General features: G+C 46.1%; 1 pseudogene across 2 annotated transcripts, besides 1 other annotated feature; it reads left to right on the top strand.

Moving 5' to 3' along the window:
- Positions 1–32: 32 nt before the first annotated feature.
- LOC102723534 (HECT and RLD domain containing E3 ubiquitin protein ligase 2 pseudogene) lies at positions 33–15,529 on the top strand (annotated as a pseudogene). Of its 2 annotated transcripts, none has more exons than NR_160688.1 (5): positions 33–382; positions 9,876–10,076; positions 12,312–12,489; positions 12,582–12,706; positions 14,068–15,529. The product of NR_160688.1 is annotated as an HECT and RLD domain containing E3 ubiquitin protein ligase 2 pseudogene, transcript variant 2 (transcript). The 2 variants fall into 2 exon arrangements; NR_160687.1 differs by having other exon boundaries at positions 12,263–12,489.
- Positions 11,287–11,787: an enhancer, noted in NCBI's record as "H3K4me1 hESC enhancer chr15:20722905-20723404 (GRCh37/hg19 assembly coordinates)". NCBI's record gives its function as "activates a minimal SCP1, AML or CMV promoter by ChIP-STARR-seq in naive H9 embryonic stem cells {active_cell/tissue: H9 hESC(naive)}" and the evidence as "EXISTENCE:reporter gene assay evidence [ECO:0000049][PMID:30033119]".
- Positions 15,530–17,078: the final 1,549 nt, after the last annotated feature.

The raw sequence follows: 17,078 nt of genomic DNA, 5'->3' as shown, positions 1-17,078 counted from the left end.
GCCAACAGCGGGCGCCGGAAGGCGGGATTTCCGCCGCACGCACGCACTCCCGCACTCCCACGGGAGACTGCTTGGCCCGGAGCGCTCTTGATCACGCCGCGGCGGGTGGTGGCGCTCACACTAACTATAGCTATCCAGGGCGCGGGTCGAGTGGCGAGACCAGCTCCCCTGGGTATGAGAACGCATCTTTGTGCGGTCGGCTGGCTGGGGCCTGAAGAGCTTCCTCCTGTGTGTTCAACTGAACGCAGCAAAAGTCTTGGGCAGATTCCATGGAGCAGCTGTGGAAGCACTGTGCAGGGAATCGAAGAAGGAAACACCTCCAGCGACCACAAAACAAAATTGAAGAACTATAAAACAATATAGGCCGGGCATGGTGGCTCACGTATGTAATTCTCAGCGCTTTGGGAGGCCGAAGCGGGAGGATCCCTCGAAGCCAGGAGTTGGAGGATCCCATGTTGCCAGACTGGGCAACATAGCAAGACCCCATCTCTAAAAAATAAAAATAAAAAAATTTAACAATTAGCCAGGTGTGGTGGCACACACCTGTGATCCCAGCTGCTCGGGAGGCTGAGACAGGAGAATCGCCTGAGCCTGGGAGATCAATGCTACAGTGAGCTGAGATCGTGCCACTGCACTCCAGCCTGGGCGACAGAGTGAGATCCTGCCTCTAAGAAAGAAAAATAACGGCCGGGCGTGGTGGCTCACGCCTGTAATCCCAGCACTTTGGGAGGCCAGAGCAGGTGGATCATTTGAGGTCAGGAGTTCAAAACCAGCCTGGCCAACATGATGAGACCCCTTCTCTACTGAAAATACAAAGATTAGCCAGGTGTGGTGGCACGTGACTGTAATCCCAGCTACTCGGGAGGCCGAGGCAGGAGAATCGCTTGAACCCGGGAGGCGGAGGTTGCAGTGAGCCGACATTGCACCACTGCACTCCAGCCTGGGGGTCAGAGGCTGCACCACTGCAGCCTTGACTTACCGGGTTCAGGTGGTTCTCCACCTCAGCCTTGCCACTAGCTGGGACTGCAGGCACATGGAACCACACCTGGCTAATTTTTGTAGTTTTTGTAGACGGGATTTTGCCATGTTGCCCAGGCTGGTCTCGAACTCCTGGGCTCAAGTGATCCGCCCGCCTCAGTCTCCCAAAATGCTGGGATTACAGGTGTGAGTCACTGCACTCGGCTAATAGTAATGAACTTTGAACAGAAGGAAAGTTGTTATTATTTTCTTGGTTATGTTCTATTTATATTTTCTAATTTTTCTAAACATGTAAAGATAAAATTCTAAAAACTCAGTAAGACCTCAGAACAAAAAAATTAGAGTATAAATATTTATTTTAGTTAACTTGTACAAATTTGGTTTCTGGAAAAAGAATGGAATAGATTTTCTGAGAAAAAAAATCCACCACTTTGGCCGGGCGCAGTGGTTTACGCGTGTAATGCCTGCACTTTGGGAGGCTGAGGCGGTGGATCACCTGAGGTGAGGAGTTCAAGACCAGCCTGACCGACATGAAGAAACCCCTGTCTCTACTAAAAATACAAAAATTAGTCAGGCCTGGTGGCACGCACCTGTAATCCCAGCTACTCAGGAGGCTGAGGCTGGAGAATCGCTTGAACCCAGGAGGCAGAGGTTGCAGTGAGCTGAGATCGCACCATAGCGCTCCAGCCTGGGTGACAAAAGGAAAACTCTGTCTCAGAAAGAAAGAAAGAAAAGCAGACTGGCTGAAAGGATTGAAGAACAAAATATGATCCACCAATGTGCTATCTACAAGATAAACATTTTAAATACAGAAACAGATTGAAAGTAAAGGGATACAAAGATACAATTAAAATAGTAACCAAAAAAGAGCTGAAGGGGCTGTACTAATATCAAATGTAATACACTTTAAATTAAAGCAGGGCTGGGCATGGTAGCTCAGGCCTGCAATCCCAGCACTTTGGGAGGTGGAGGCAGAGAGATACTTGAGCCCAGAAGTTCGAGATCAGCCTGAGCAACATGGCATAATCCAATCTCTACAAAAAATACAAAAATTAGGCGGGCATGGTGGTACCCACCTGTGGTCCCAGCTATTTGGGAGGCTGAGGTGGGAGGATCATGTGAGCTGGGGAAGTTGAGGCCACAGTGAGCTAAGATCGGGCCCCTGCACTCCACCCTGGGCAACAGAGCGAGACCCTGTCTGAAAATAAAAAAAAATAAAAAACGGGGTTGAGAGACAAAAAAGGACATCCTTTTTTTTATTATTATATTTTGAGATGGAGTTTCGCTCGTTGCCCAGGCTGGAGTGCAATCGTGTGATCTTGGCTCACTGCAACCTCCGCCTCCCAGGTTCAAGTGATTGTCGTGCCTCAGGCTCCCGAGTACCTGGCATTACATGTGCCTGCCATCACGCCCAGCTAATTTTTGTATTTTGGTACAGACAGGGTTTCACCATGTTGGCCAGGGTGGTCTCCAACTACTGACCTCAGGTGATCCACCTGCCTTGGCCTCCCAAAATGCTGGGACTACAGACATGAGCCACCGTGCCAGCCGAAACCTTCATTTTAAAAAAGGCTGGGTCAGGCATCATGCCTCATGCCTGTAATCCCAGCACTTTGAGAGGGCAACGCAGGCGGATCACCTGACGTCAGGAGTTCGAGACCAGACCAACATGGTGAAACCCCGTCTCTACCAAAAATATAAAAATTAGGCGGGTGTGGTGGCACACACCTGTAATCCCAGCTACTCAGGAGGCTGAGGCAGGAGAATTGCTTGAATCTGGGAGGTGGAGGTTGCAGTGAGCTGAGATTGTGCTACCACACTGCAGCCAGGGTGACAGAGTGAGACGCCATCTCAAAAAATAAATAAAGGCTGGGTGCCAGATGTGGTGCATAGGCCTAGTTTGTTGACTCCTGTACTTAACATATAAAACTCTAAAGAACAGTGGGAAGGAGCTTCCCTCTAGAGGCACAGGAGCGGCCAAGTTGGTCCCTGAGCAGTGACTTTATAATAACATGTTACACTGTGTTTTTTGTTTTTGTTTGGTTTTTTGTTTGTTTGAGACGGAGTTTCGCTCTTGTTGCCCAGGCTGGAGTACAATGGCGTGATCTCAGCTCAAAACAACCTCTACCTCCCAGATTCAAGCTATTCTCCTGCCTCAGCCTCCAAAGTAGCTGGGATTTCAGTCATGCAACACCATGCCCGGCTAATTTTGTACTTTTAGTAGGGATGGGGTTTCTCCATGTTGGTCAGGCTGGTCTCGAACTCCTGACCTCAAGTGATCTGCCCGCCTCGGCCTCCCAAAATGCTGGGATTACAGGCGTGAGCCACCACACCCGGCCTATATTTTTTTTCTTTTTTTTTAGACACAGTCTGACTCTATTGCCCAGGCTGGAGTGCAGTAGCACGATCTTGGTTCACTGTAACTTCTGCCTCCCTGGTTCAAGCGATTCTCCTGCCTCAGCCTCCCAAGTAGCTGGGATTACAGGCATGCACCACCACATCCGACTAATTTTTGTATTTTTAGTAGAGATGGGGTTTCACCATGTTGGCCAGGCTGGTCTCAAACTCCTCACCTCAAGTAATCCGCCCGCCTCGGCCTCCCAAAGTGCTGGGATTACAAGGCGTGACCCACCGGGCCTGGCCCTGTGTGTTGTTTTATGTATGTTTCTATATGTGTTATATTTCACAATAAACTAAATATTAAAACAAAGAATAACTGATAGCTATGCACAAAGGTATTTAAATTTCACCCTCACAAATAATTTTTTTTTTTTTGAGACAGGATCTCTGTTACCCAGGCTGGAGTGCAGTGGCACCACCTTGGTTCACTGCAGACTTGACCTCCCAGGCCCAAGCGATCCTTCTACCTCAGCCTCCTGAGTAGCTGGGACTACAGGCACACTCCACCACACCCACCTAATTTTTGTATTTTTGGTAAAGATGGGGTTTCACCATGTTGGCCAGGCTGGTCTCGAACTTCTGGGATCAAGGAATCCTCCAACCTTGGCTTTCCAAAGTGCTGGTATTACAGGCGTGAGCCACTGTACCCGGCCAAGAATAGTTTCTTCTCCTTACCTAGGTAGAGACCTCTGCAGAAATGCTGGGAGATCTTTGGAGAGGGGAGATTTTTTAAATAAAAAATTTAATACTTGGAGGGGCGTGGTGGCTTACCCCTGTAATCCCAGCACTTTGGGAGGCCAAGGCGGACAGATCAGGAAGTCAGGAGATTGAGACCACCCTGGCTAACACGGTGAAACCCCATCTCTACTAAAAAAAATACAAAAAATTAGCTGGGCATCGTGGCGGGCGCCTGTAGTCCCAGCTACTCGGGAGGCTGAGTCAGGAGACTGGCGTGAACCTGGGAGGCGGAGCTTGCAGTGAGCCGACATCGGGCCACTGCACTCCAGCCTGGGCGACACAGCAAGACTTCGTCTCAAAAAAAAAAAAAAAAATTAATACTTTGGGATGCCAAGGCAGGTGGATCACGAGGTCAGGAGTTCAAGAACTGCCTGGCCAAGATGGTGAAACCCCGTCTCTACTAAAAATACAAAAATTTGCCGGGCTTGGTGGCAGGTGCCTGTAATCCCAGCTATTCAGGAGGCTGAGGCAGGAGAATTGCTTGAACCTGGGTGGCAGAGGTTGCAGTGAGCCAAGATAGCACCACTGCACTCCAGCCTGGGCAATAAGAGTCAGACTCTGTCTAAAAAAAAAAAAAAATTGATCTAGTTCAAAACCTCACTTTGAATCCACCCACATTGCTCTAAAATACTTTCATCTTTCCTGTGGCTAAAACCTTAAAGCCTTGCCAGTAACTCCCATTGCACTTAAGGAAATCCAATCTCCCTTGTTGTGGCCCCTGAACAGGCTGCTGCTGGCCCACCACGGTGCCTCTAGTTTGTGTAAAATGCATATGTTAATTTACAATAAATCATATGAGGCTTTTTTAGCTCTAAAAGGCTATTATTCACTAGTTGCTGTGTGAATCAGTATTTCTGGGTGCAGTTAGAAATTATTAGAGTTGATGCCCAAGACTCATCTCCATCAGCACGGGGGAGGCATCTGCTCGTTTTATGGTCAGTGACTCTGGGCCTCCTGCTGGGCTTAGTCCTGAGGTGGGTCTGACTCAGGTCAGGGCTGTGCACCCCGGCCCTCCTCCTCAACGTGCATGAGTGCTCTTTAGGATGGAGCTGAACACTGGCTTCTCAAAACCACTTGGCCCCATCACAGGCCCTGAGAACTGATTGGGTCACTCTGGTGGGCTCCCCAGCCCTAGCCAAGAAGGGTTTCTCTAGGGAGCCTGGCCCCCCACTTATGAGATCTGGAGCCCCAAAGATCCTGACCAGGGGCCTGCCTCCTCCAGGGAGGGGCCACTCGCCCCCACCAAGCTCCCTTCACAGAGACCCATCCAACAGAGCTGAGGAAAACCATGCCTCATAAATGAATAAATACATAAATAAGGATGCCGGGGACCTGTGGATTTTGTAATTCCTGAAAGAAGGCAGAGTGGCTGGCTCACAGCAAGCGCAGTAGGAGATACTGCTCCCCGGCCAGGCTGTTCTCTGTCTCTTTGGAGGGAGCCCTAGGGTACAAGAAAAGCCAGAGGAGACCAGCTGGCCCAGAAGGTGCCTCTCCACCCCTTCCCCAGAGTTTCTGGGAAACAAAGCCCACCCGAGGGACACATGCCTTCTTGGGAGTTGTACCAGGCCTCCTTCCTCATCCGGCCATGCAGTGGTTTTCAGTGCCCGAAACAGATGAATAAAATAGGCCCTTTACTGGATGTTCTTCAGGAACATGCGCACTTCTTTGGATCTTACCATCGTTTTATCTCTATTTAAAGTTAAATGCTGTGTTATACAGAGTATTGGTAAAGATGTAGAGCTACAAGAACTGTCAAGCTGGCAGTAGCATAAAATTGTATAAGCACATTGGAAACCTGTTTGGCAGCTTCCACTAAAGCTATATCTATGCCTACCTTCAGAAATTCCATCCTAAGCATGTACACAAGAGAAACGAGTGCATATGTCCACAAAAAGACTTATATAAGAATGTTCACTGCCATTTTTATTCATAAGAGCCCCAAATGAAAACAACCTAAATGTCCATCAACAGGAGAGTGAATAAATGGTGATACAGTCACATCATGGAATACTACACAGCCAAAAAAGAAAAATGAAGTGGTAGGAACACTCAACGACATGGGTGAATAGAGGGAGCCAGGTATGAGAGACAGTGCACAGTACCAGCCCACCTAGATGAAGCGCAGGAAGGCAGAACTGACGATGATTGAAGTCAGAAGAGTAGTTTCCTTTGTGGGAAAGTGTAGGTCAGGAAGGAGCCTTCTGGGGTACTACAAATCTGCCGTATTTTGGCTGGGTGCAACAGCTCACACCAGCACTTCGGGAGGCATAGGCAAGAGGGTCACTTGAGCCCAGGAGTTAGAGACCAGCTTGGGCAACACAGCGAGATCCCATCTCTACAAAAAAATTAAAAATTAGCGTGGCATGCTGGTGTGCACCTGTAGTCTCAGCTACTCAGGAGGCTGAGGCAGGAGGATTGCTTGAGCTTAAGAGTTTGAGGTTGCAGTGAGCTCCCAAAGTGCTGGGATTACAGGTGTGAGACACTATACCAGCCTGATTTTTAAATACTGACCAAGCCTTGTGTTACTGGGATAGGCATCACTTGGCCACAATTTACTACTCTCTTTCTTTTTTTTTTTTTTTTTTTGAGACAGAATCTCACTCTGTCACCCAGGCTGGAGTGCATTGGTGCAATCTCAGCTCTCTGCAACCTCTGCCTCCTGGGTTCAAGCAATTCTCCTGCCTCAGCTTCCTGAGTAGCTGGGATTAGAGGTGTGCACCACCACACCTGGCTAATTTTGTTTGTTTGTTGTTTGTTTTTAGTAGAGATGGGGTTTCACCATGTTGGCCAGCCTGGTCTCCAACTCCTGACCTCAAGTGATCCACCCTCCTTGGCATCCCAATATTCCTATGATTACAGGCGTGAGCCACTGCGCCCGGCCCTATTCTGTTTCTATATTGCTAAATTTGACTTGCTAACACGTTTTTGAGGATTTTTCTGTTGATGCTCATCAGGGATGTTGGTTTGCAGTTTTCTTTCTTTGTATTACACTATCTCGTCTGGCTTTCTGTCAGGGGAAAGCTGACCTTATACAAAGTATTGGCATGTGTTCCCTCCTTTTCCATTTTCTCTAAGGGATTGTGTAGAATTAGTGTTATTTCTTCTTTAAATGTTTTTGAATCCATCTGAACCTGGAGATTTCTTTCTAAAAGATTTTACGCCGGGCGCGGTGGCTCGTGCCTATAATCCCAGCATGTTGGGAGGCCGAGGCAGGTGGATCACCTGAGGTCAGGAGTTTGAGACCAGCCTGGCTAACATGGTGAAACCCCGTTTCTACTAAAAATACAAAAAATTAGTCAAGCTTGGTGGCGTGCGCCTGTAATCCCAGCTACTCAGGAGGCTAAGGCAGGAGAATCACTTGAACCTGGGAGGCAGAGATTGCAGAGAGCTGAGATTGCACCAATGCACTCCAGCCTGGGTGACAGAGTGAGACTCCGGCTCAAAAAAAAAAAAAAAAATTTTTACAAATTCAATTTATTTAACAGATACAGAACTATTCAGGTAACCTGTTTGTTTCTAGGAGGATTTTCCTGGTTTGTGGCACTCGGACATTGCTTTATTTCATCTAAGTTGTCTGATTTTTAAGTGTCAAGTTTTCCTTAGTGTTCTCTTGCTAACCGTCTGAAGTCTGTGGGGCCTGCAGTGATGTCCCTTCATTCATTCCTGATACTGATAATTTGTATCTTTTCTGTTTTTTTGTCAGTTTTCCTAGAGTTTTTCAATTTTGTTGATCTTTTCAAAGAATGATCTTTAAGTTTCATTAATTTTTCCCTTCTTTTTTTGCTTTCAATCTCATTAGTTTCTGCTTTTATCTTGGCATTTGTTCCTTTGGCTTGTTTTGCGTTCACTTTGCTCTTTTTCTGGTTTCTTAAGGTGGAAACTTAGATTGCTGATTTAGACCTATCTTTTTTGTAATATATAATGATTTGATGCTATAAATTTTCCTCTAAGCAGTGCTTTAATTAAACCCACAAATTTTGGTGCATTTTCATTTATGTTCAAAATATTTTCTCATTTCTTTGGAGAATTGTTCTTTGACCCATGGATGATGATGATGATGATGATTATTATTATTATTATTATTTTTCTTCAATACGGAGTTTCACTGTTGTTGCCCAGGCTGGAGTGCAATGACATGATCTCGGCTCACTGCAACCTCTGTCTCCTGGGTTCAAGCGATTCTCCTGCCTCAGCCTCCTGATTAGCTGGGACTACGGGCACCCGCCACCATGCCCGGCTAATTGTTTTGTATTTTCAGTAGAGATGGGGTTTCTCCATGTTGGCCAGGCTGATCTTCAACTCCTGGCCTCAGGTGATCCCCCCAACTTGGCCTCCCACAGTGTTGGGATTACACGCGTGAGCCAGTGCGCCCGGCCTGACCCATGGATTATTAAGTATGTGGTTTTATTTTGAAGTGTTTGCAGATTGTTTTGTTAATGATTTCTAGTTTAATACCATTGTGATTGGAGAACAAACTGCATATGATTTCATTTCTTTTAAATTTGTTAAGATTTATGTGTCAGGTTATGTTCTCAGTGAACATTCTGTATGTGCTTAAAAAGTATATGTATGGTCTGTATATGTATGGTCTGTATATACATATATGTATACATATATGTGTAAAAAGTATATGTATGGTCTGTATGTGCTTAAAAAGTATATGTATGGTCCAGCACTTTGGGAGGCCGAGGCAGGCAGATCACAAGGTCAGGAGATCGAGACCATCCTGGCTAACAGGGTGAAACTCCGTCTCTACTAAAAATACAAAAAAAATTACCCGGGCATGATGGCGGGCGCCTGTAGTCCCAGCTACTTGGGAGGCTGAGGCAGGAGACTGGCTTGAGCCTGGGAAGCAGAGCTTGCAGTGAACTGAGATCATGCGACTGCACTCCAGCCTGGGCGACAGAGCTAGACTCCATCTCAAAAAAATAAAATTTAAAAAAAGTATATGTAAAGTATATGTATGGCCGGGCACGGTGGCTCACGCCTGTAATCCCAGCACTTTGGGAGGCCAAGGCAGGTGGATCACGAGGTCAGGAGATCAAGACCATCCTGGCTGACATGGTGAAACCCCATCTCTACTAAAAATAAAAATTAAAAAAATAATAATAATTAGCCAGGCGTGGTGGTGAGCACCTGTAGTCCCAGCTACTCAGGAGGCTGAGGTAGGAGAATGGCGTGAACCCAGGAGGCAGAGCTTGCAGTGGGCTGAGATCGTGCCACTGCACTCTAGCCTGGGCGACAGAGCGAGACTCTGTCTCAAAAAAAAAAAAGTATATGTATTTTGCTGTTGTTGGGTGAAGTGTTCCATAAATTAGATCCAGTTTATTGAAGGTGTTCTACAGTTCTCCTAGATTTTTGCCGATTACTTGTTCTCTCACTATGAAAGATATTGTGTGTGTTATATGTGTCTAACAATTCATTGTCTAGTTAGAGTTGCTATTATACCACTTCAAGTGGATGGAGAGCCTCCCTGCCATCCATTAATGTGCATTAATCATTTTGAGAGTGAAAAGATTTTTTAAAATGTTTTTACTCTTTTAGGTATGGCCAAGTGAGATGGGGCTAGTGAAATGGGTGGGAGAATTGGAAGCTGATAGTGTGTGAGCTAGACACCCATGAATGCTTTTCCACTGGGCAGTTAGAGGGATGATAGGTAATAATATAAGGCAGCTCCATCACACAAGCTGGTGACTCCTGTGCGACAGACCAAGAGCTGCATTTGGAGATTCATTTCCGATTGTTGCGTTTCCTCTTAGAGCATTGCTTGGTCATCGTGTTCTGAGTGGTCCATTGGCCTCCATGTCCCTTTTGGGGTGGATATTTGCTCAGTGACTTTTGAGCAGCTGGATCTCCTGCTTCGGCAGGTGAGTGAGGGGATGGATGGCTCCGCGGACTGGCCCCCGCCCCAGGAGAAAGAGTGCGTGGCCGTGGCAACGCTGAATCTTCCCCGACTTCAGGTATTCGTGATTTCCCTTCCTCTTGCTCCTTTTATAAGTGTCTTAGCGATTTGTAAGAAGGTTTATGTATTTTGAAGGACATAGGTTTTAGCCTGTTGGGGGAAGTATTTTAAAGTAAGATTGTAATGCACTAATAATGGACGCAAGGCTTAAAAAACTTGATCTGTTTATTTTATGTTTGTCCTGGAAGTCAGCCTCGGCATGCAGGAAGAGTGTATATGGATTGTGTTATTTTTGCTATAATCATTAGTTTGTTGGTATTCTTACTGTTTTACTGTTGTTGCGTGTGGAGAAATGACTGGGTGAGATCACAGGTGATGGAGAGAGACAGCGCTCAGCTGAGAGACCAGTGCTGGCCTGTCTCTCCTCTGTCCTGTGAAAACCCTGCTCCAGGAGGGTCCAGTCTTTTGGTTTCCCTGGGCCACACTGGAAGAAGAATTGTCTTGGGCTACACATAAAATACACTTATGATAGCTGATGAGCTTAAAAAAAGAATCCCAAAAATATCTCATGATGTTTTAAGAAATTTTACTTTGGGCCACATTCAAAGCTGCCCTGGGCCACATGCTGCCCTCGGGCCGTGGGTTGAACAAGCTTGATCTACTCAGTAAGCTCGGCTCCCAAAGCAATACCTTCCTTTCCTCACCATGAAGGCTGTGGTTAGGGTCAAAATAAAAGCTACAAAAGCCTTCCTCCCTAGCAAAACTAAAGCTGAAGTGTTTGATCATCATCTTTTGTCTTTGTAATAAAACCCTCTAACTTAATGACAAGAACCACGGTTTTCTCGACATAGTAATTTTTCCCTTTTATTACAGTGGTTTCTTGTAACAACCCGTCATGTCCCTCTTCCAGCCCCTCCCCTTTTTGCCCTGCTTCTAGAATGTACAGAACTGAGTGTAGTGTTTAGTTGCAGTAATGAACTGAGCAGAGGTCTGGAGCATGCTTCTCCTCTAGTCCTCTGTAGCACTCATTTATCACCATATCTGTGGCATCCTGGCGTTTGCGTGGTTGCGCCCCAGGTGTTTGCTGCCCCTCCTGGTTTGCGGTGATGTGTCTGTTCTGGTCAGTGCTGTGGGGCGTGGCCTTGCGTATGTCTTAGGCTGTCGAGGTGTCCCAGCGTATGGTTTTGCATTTGCCTCTCCGGGGTCCTGAAGGTTCTGTAGGTTTCACAGACTCCAGGTGAGTTTCGGTGGTCATTTCCTGACCTGTGATATCTATACCTAGATGAGTGGTGTGCTTTTGATTTCACTTCTACTCACAGGGCAAGGCCGGGTCTCTGATTTCTCATGGGGCCTCTTGCTACCCAGAGCCTGGGACGGGCAGTGTGTTGCCCCCTGGCTGCGGTTGGCTGGCAGGCAGGTGATCCTGAGTGGCTCCCAGCCTTCTGCAGGAAGCTCGGGTTCAGTGGGTCCTTGTGTGCATTCCCGTGTGGGAGGTTGTGCTGAAGCCTGGCGGCTTGGCTCTGCTTTCAGAGCCCGGAACCTCTTGACTCCTGCTGTGTGTGCCCACGTGAATTTTGGTTTTGCACTTGAGGAGTTTCCCTGTGTACTCTCAGCTCCGCAGTCTAATTTTTAGCAGCTCTTTTTTTTTTTTTAGACAGGGTGTCACTTTGTCACCCAGGCTGGAATGCAGTGGTACAGTCTTGGCCTGCCAGGTTCAAGTGATTCTCCTGCCTCAGCCTCCCAAGTAGCTGGGACTACAGGTGTGTACCATCACACCCGGCTGATTTTTTTATAGAGATGGGGTTTCATCATGTTGGCCAGGCTGATCTTGAACTCCTGATCTCAAGTGAGCTTTCCCGTCGGCCTCCCAAAGTGCTGGGATGACAGGCATGAGCCACCGCCTGTGGCAGCTTTTGTGGTTACATTGTAGCCATTATTTCTGTGTTTGGTGCAGATTGTTGGGGCGGGGTGGAGGTTGCTGTTGCTAGTTGTTTAGCTCTTCTGCTCATCTTGAGCTTTTCCATATATGTGTTCATAGTGGGGTTAAAAAAAATTCCTCTAGAAAATACTTCAACTATTGTGGGTAAGAGTTTTTTTAGTCCAGTTTTTAAAAATACGTAAACTGAGAAGTTATTTTGTCTATTTAGATAATACTTCAAATTGACTTTTATTCAGTGTTTAATAAGACTTTGAAATTCACTCATTTTTAGGGGTTCTAAGTGAAAATTGTTTTTCTCCTTTCAGTTGCATGCTGCCATTAGTCACCAGGTTGACCTGGAATTCCTTGGTTTAGGTCTGGGCAGCGTCTTCCTGAACAGCCTGAAGCAGAAGGTGGTGACCCTGGCAAGCAGCGCAGACGTGCTGAGCACCGTGCAGTCGGCCTCCCAGGCCATGCTGCAGAGCGGCTGGTCCATGCTGTTGCCCACCGCTGAGAAGCAGGCCCGGGCACTCTGCTCTCCTGTCCTGCGGAGGTGGGCTCGGGGAAGGAACAGGAGAGGGCATGGGTCAGGGTGCTGGGAGGGGATGGCGTTTCACTCAAATTGGCACACACTTTCTATTTCAGTTTCAGGCAATGAAGTGAGCATAAGTCCAGGTCATCGATTGGTGATTGATCTTCTGGTGGGCAGCTTGATGGCTGATGGAGGGTTGGAGTCAGCCTTACACGCAGCCATTACTGCAGAGATCCAGGTATGGCCTTGGAGGCACACGTGACCTGGTGGTGGGCTGAGATCGGAAATACCACACTCACACATGTGAAGAATAACTGAAAACAGTAAAACACTAAACTTATATCCAAGTATTTTTTTAAATTAAAATTCTTTTATGTGCTAATTTTAAAAATTATTGAGATGATTTGTGATAAAATACTGCATGTTGTCTGTTTCAGTGAAGTTAACAGGTAACCTGTTCCTCATGTAGACCATTCCCGTCACCCGGAAAGATCGCTGTGCTCCTTGGCACTTGCAGCCAGGATACTCCCCTGCCCTGAGATTAGATTCATTTTTCCTGCTCTGAGTGTCGCAGCAATATAACTGTATAGTATGCACTCTTTCCTGCTTTGCCTTGGAGAATGATTTTCAGATTCGCTCACTGTTGTGTGTATTGCGACTTCGTTTTTATTATTGGGAAGTTTTCCATTTTATAGGTGTAGTACTGTTTGTTAGTTCATTCTCCTATTGAAGGACATGTAATTGTTTTTGGTTTTTGTTTTCTTTTTTTTTTTTTTTTTGAGACAGGGTCTTGCTCTGTCACCCAGGCTGTATACAGTGACCTGATGTTGGCTCACTGCAGCCTTGTACTCCTAGGCTCAAATGATCCTCCCACCTCAGCCTCCTGTGTTGCAGGGACCACATACATGTCACCATGCCCGGCTAGTTTTTTGATTTTTTTGTAGAGACAAGGTTTCACTGTGTTGCAAGGCTGGTCTTCAACTCCTGGGCTCCAGTGATCCCCCCACCTTGGCCTCCCAAAGTGTTGGGATTACAAGCGTGAGCCACCGCGCCCAGGCTTTCTGGTTTTTGGCCGTGTAGAGCTGCCACAATTGTGCTGTGAACAAGTACTTTAGTGAACATATGTTCTCCCTTTGGATAAACACTTGGAGTGGAATTTGTTAGGTCCTGGGGTTAGTGTGTGTTCATAGTTTCCCAAAGTGGCTTTGCCATTTGCATTTGAACCAGGACTTGTGTGTGAGAATTCTAGCTCCTTCTTGTCCTTACAGAGCAGCTGGATGCTGCGTGTGTGGAGCCGATCACATTGGGTTTTGTGTGAGCCATTAGCAGGGTTAAGGATTTTAGGGACTTCACAGAAGGAGGCTGGAGAGCATCAGCAGAGGCAGCCTAGACCTTGGATCTGTAAAAAGAAGACACTGTTTGAAACTGCACAAATGAGTTGGGGTTTCCAACAGGGCAGGTGGGGGCCTGTGGGTGGATGGGTGTGGCAGCCACAGAGGCTGGGATAGCTTGGCACTGGGGTCAGGGCTCAGCCAGCCTGTGTGCCTTCACACCTGGTAATGAGATCACTTGTAAACAATTTCTGTTTATCAATTACAGGATACAAAAAAAGAAGCACGGAAGGAAAAAGAAATTTATGAACAGGAAGCAAATGCCTCAACATTTCATAGAAGGAGGACTCCATTGGATAAAGGCCTTATTAATACGGGGATCTGTGAGTCTTCTGGCAAACAGTGTTTGCCTCTGGTTCAGCTCATACAACAGCTTCTTAGGTAAATCATATTAGCTGTATTGTATTGTGTTTTATTTATTTACTTTTTTGTTTTTTGAGACAGAGTTTCGCTCTTGTTGCCCAGGCCGGAGTGCAGTGGTGCGATCTTGACTCACTGCAACCTCCGCCTCCCAGGTTCAAGTAATTCCTCTGCCTCAGCCTCTCGAGCAGCTGGGATTACAGGCATGCGCCACCATGCCCCACTAATTTTGTAGTTTTGTTAGAGACAGGGTTTCTTCATGTTGGTCAGGCCGGTCTTGAACTCCCGACCTCAGGTGGTCCATCCACTTTGGCCTCCCAAAATGTTGGGATTACAGGCATTAGCCACCACGCCTGGCCTATTTATTTACTTATTAATGGTGTTTTTTTTTTGTTTTTTTTTTTTTTGAGATGGAGTCTTGCTCTATCGTCCAGGCTGGAGTGCAGTGTCACGATCTTGGCTCACTGCAACCCCCGCCTCCTGGGTTCAAGCTATTCTCCTGCCTCAGCCTCCCGAGTAGCTGGGACTACAGGCGTCTGCAACCACACCTGGCTGATTTTTGTATTTTTAGTAGAGATGGGGTTTTACCATATTGGTCAGGCTGGTCTCAAATTCCTGACGTCAGGTGACCCACCTGCCTTGGCCTCTCAAAATGTTGGGATTACAGGTGTTAGCCACTGTGCCTGGCCTGTATTGTATTTTAATAGGTGATTATTGGTTTTCATATTAAGATAGTGAAATCTAGCGCAAGGATCTCAAAAATTTGTTTGATGATTGAAGGAATATTCTGAAAATTACCTAGTATAGATGTTAGGATAAAGAGCAGACCCTTTTCAATATAGGTGAGAGGAGAAGTTGGAGGGTGTGATGATACTCAAAAGTTTTTCACTGAAGAGAAATTGGGGCGTGCAGTAAACATGTAAAAAGATTCTTACTAATAAGCAGGTGGATGCAAATGAAAATCATCATGGAAGGTTATTTTTAAAACTGGTTCTATCATTGCCTCACTTTATATATTACAGAGTTATACATACTACTTTGTAAGATAACTTTTCTTTTCAAAACTGAAGTCAATGTGATAGAATGGTGAGCATTATTTTGGAAGGCCAGACTAGGAGGAGGTGGGAGGAAGAAGTCAGACTCAGCCTGTGAACAGACGCTAACCTTGGCAGAAGCCAAAACAGTCAGACAGTGTTGTCTAAAAATGATCATTCAAGAAGAGCGAAACAGCAAGGTGATTTGTGAAAGAGATTTATTAGAAAATGAAACACATTTATACCTCTGTTCAATAAAAATCTGCTTTTCGTCAACTGATGCTCCTGGTTTTTGTTTCTACACATAGAGAAAGCAGAGCCCTGGCAGCTTGGGTCAGGCAGCCGAGTACAGACCAGGGAGCCCTGGGCAGTGGCTGCAGCTCTCAGCTGGCCTGTTCATGGGGCCATGGTGGGTCTGTGGCGTGGGGTGGGCCTGTGGCGTGGGGTGGGCCCGCGGCGTGGGGTGGGCCTGCGGCATGGGGTGGGCCCGCGGCATGGGGTGGGCCTGCTGTCCACAGCCAGAAAAACTAACTTAGTGCACACACAGTGAAATTTTGAAACAGGAAGTTTTAGAGCTAGTTTCTGTCATAGATTTTAGTAAATGCTATTTTGCAAAACCTTTTTCTGATGTTTGTTTTGTTTTTCTAATCTGATAATGCATATTTCACACATTCTGGTCTTTAACAAATGGAAATAAAGAGAACTAAACAATATAGTTTGTGTCGATGGAAAGAGCTTGGGATTTGTTCTCAGAAAATTTCAGTTACAACAGTTTGTTCATATAGGTGGACTTCCAACACAGTAACTATGGGAGTAAGAATAAAAGCTGTGTTTACTTTCACAGAGTTAATTAAGAATACATGAGAAAATGGATGTTAAAAACCTTGTAATTAAAATGTACAGTTACATGCAAAGTTTTAAAGTGAGCATTTTCCAGAGGTGCTTTTCTAAGTTCTTGAATGCCTCTCCCTTTTCTGAAGTGGCTGCTTCGTGGGGCTGTTGGTCTTTGGCAGGGGGTGAGTGCAGGGTTCCTGTTGTGGGTCCTTTGTTCTCACGAGGGCAGTGCCCGTTTTCCCCGTCTCCTGCTTGCCCAGACTGTTCCCGTGCGCAGAGAGACTGGCCTGTTTGACCTGCAGCTGTGCTGTTTGAGCTGCAGCTGTGTAGCCTGCGCTGGCCCATCTGGCTACACTCAACACCGTTTGCTGATCAGCACTTGAAGTCTGTCCGTCATAGCTGAGACACTGAATATTTTATCTGTTTAATTTTTATTCATTAAAATGCAGGTTTGAAAATTTGATTCTGTTATTAGAAAGCACTTAAGTATGTTTAGAATCACTTGGCCTTGGGAGTCTACTTTGTCAACTGTGTATTTTATGAGTCTAAATGGAGATCAGATGTTTTCAATGCAAATTTCACGGTCCAAATTGAAATGTGTTACATATGTAAGCTACTCAGATGGTTTTTGAGGACTTAATATGAAATAACCTATGTAAAATATCTCAATAATTTTTCTTAGATTGATTTCATGTTGAAATGGTCATATTTTTGATCTGTTGGAATAACTATGATACATTATTAAAATTATTTTTATTTTTTAAGATGGAATCTTACTCTGTTGACCAGACTGGAGTGCAGTGGTGCAATCTTGGCTCACTGCAACCTCCGCCTCTTGTGTTCAAGTGATTCTCCTGCCTCAGCCTCCTGAGCAGCTGGGACTACAGGACTACAGACTCCCGAGCAGCTGGCACTACCACCACGCCTGGCTGATTTTTGTATTTTTGTAGAGACAGAGTTTCACCATGTTGGCCAGGCTGGTCTCGGACTC

The sequence above is a fragment of the Homo sapiens genome, chromosome 15, assembly GCF_000001405.40.
Source record: "Homo sapiens chromosome 15, GRCh38.p14 Primary Assembly".
Lineage (NCBI taxonomy): Eukaryota > Metazoa > Chordata > Mammalia > Primates > Hominidae > Homo > Homo sapiens.
The sequence above is the reverse complement of the archived record's forward strand: the minus strand, read 5'-3'. Positions and strand labels throughout refer to the sequence as shown.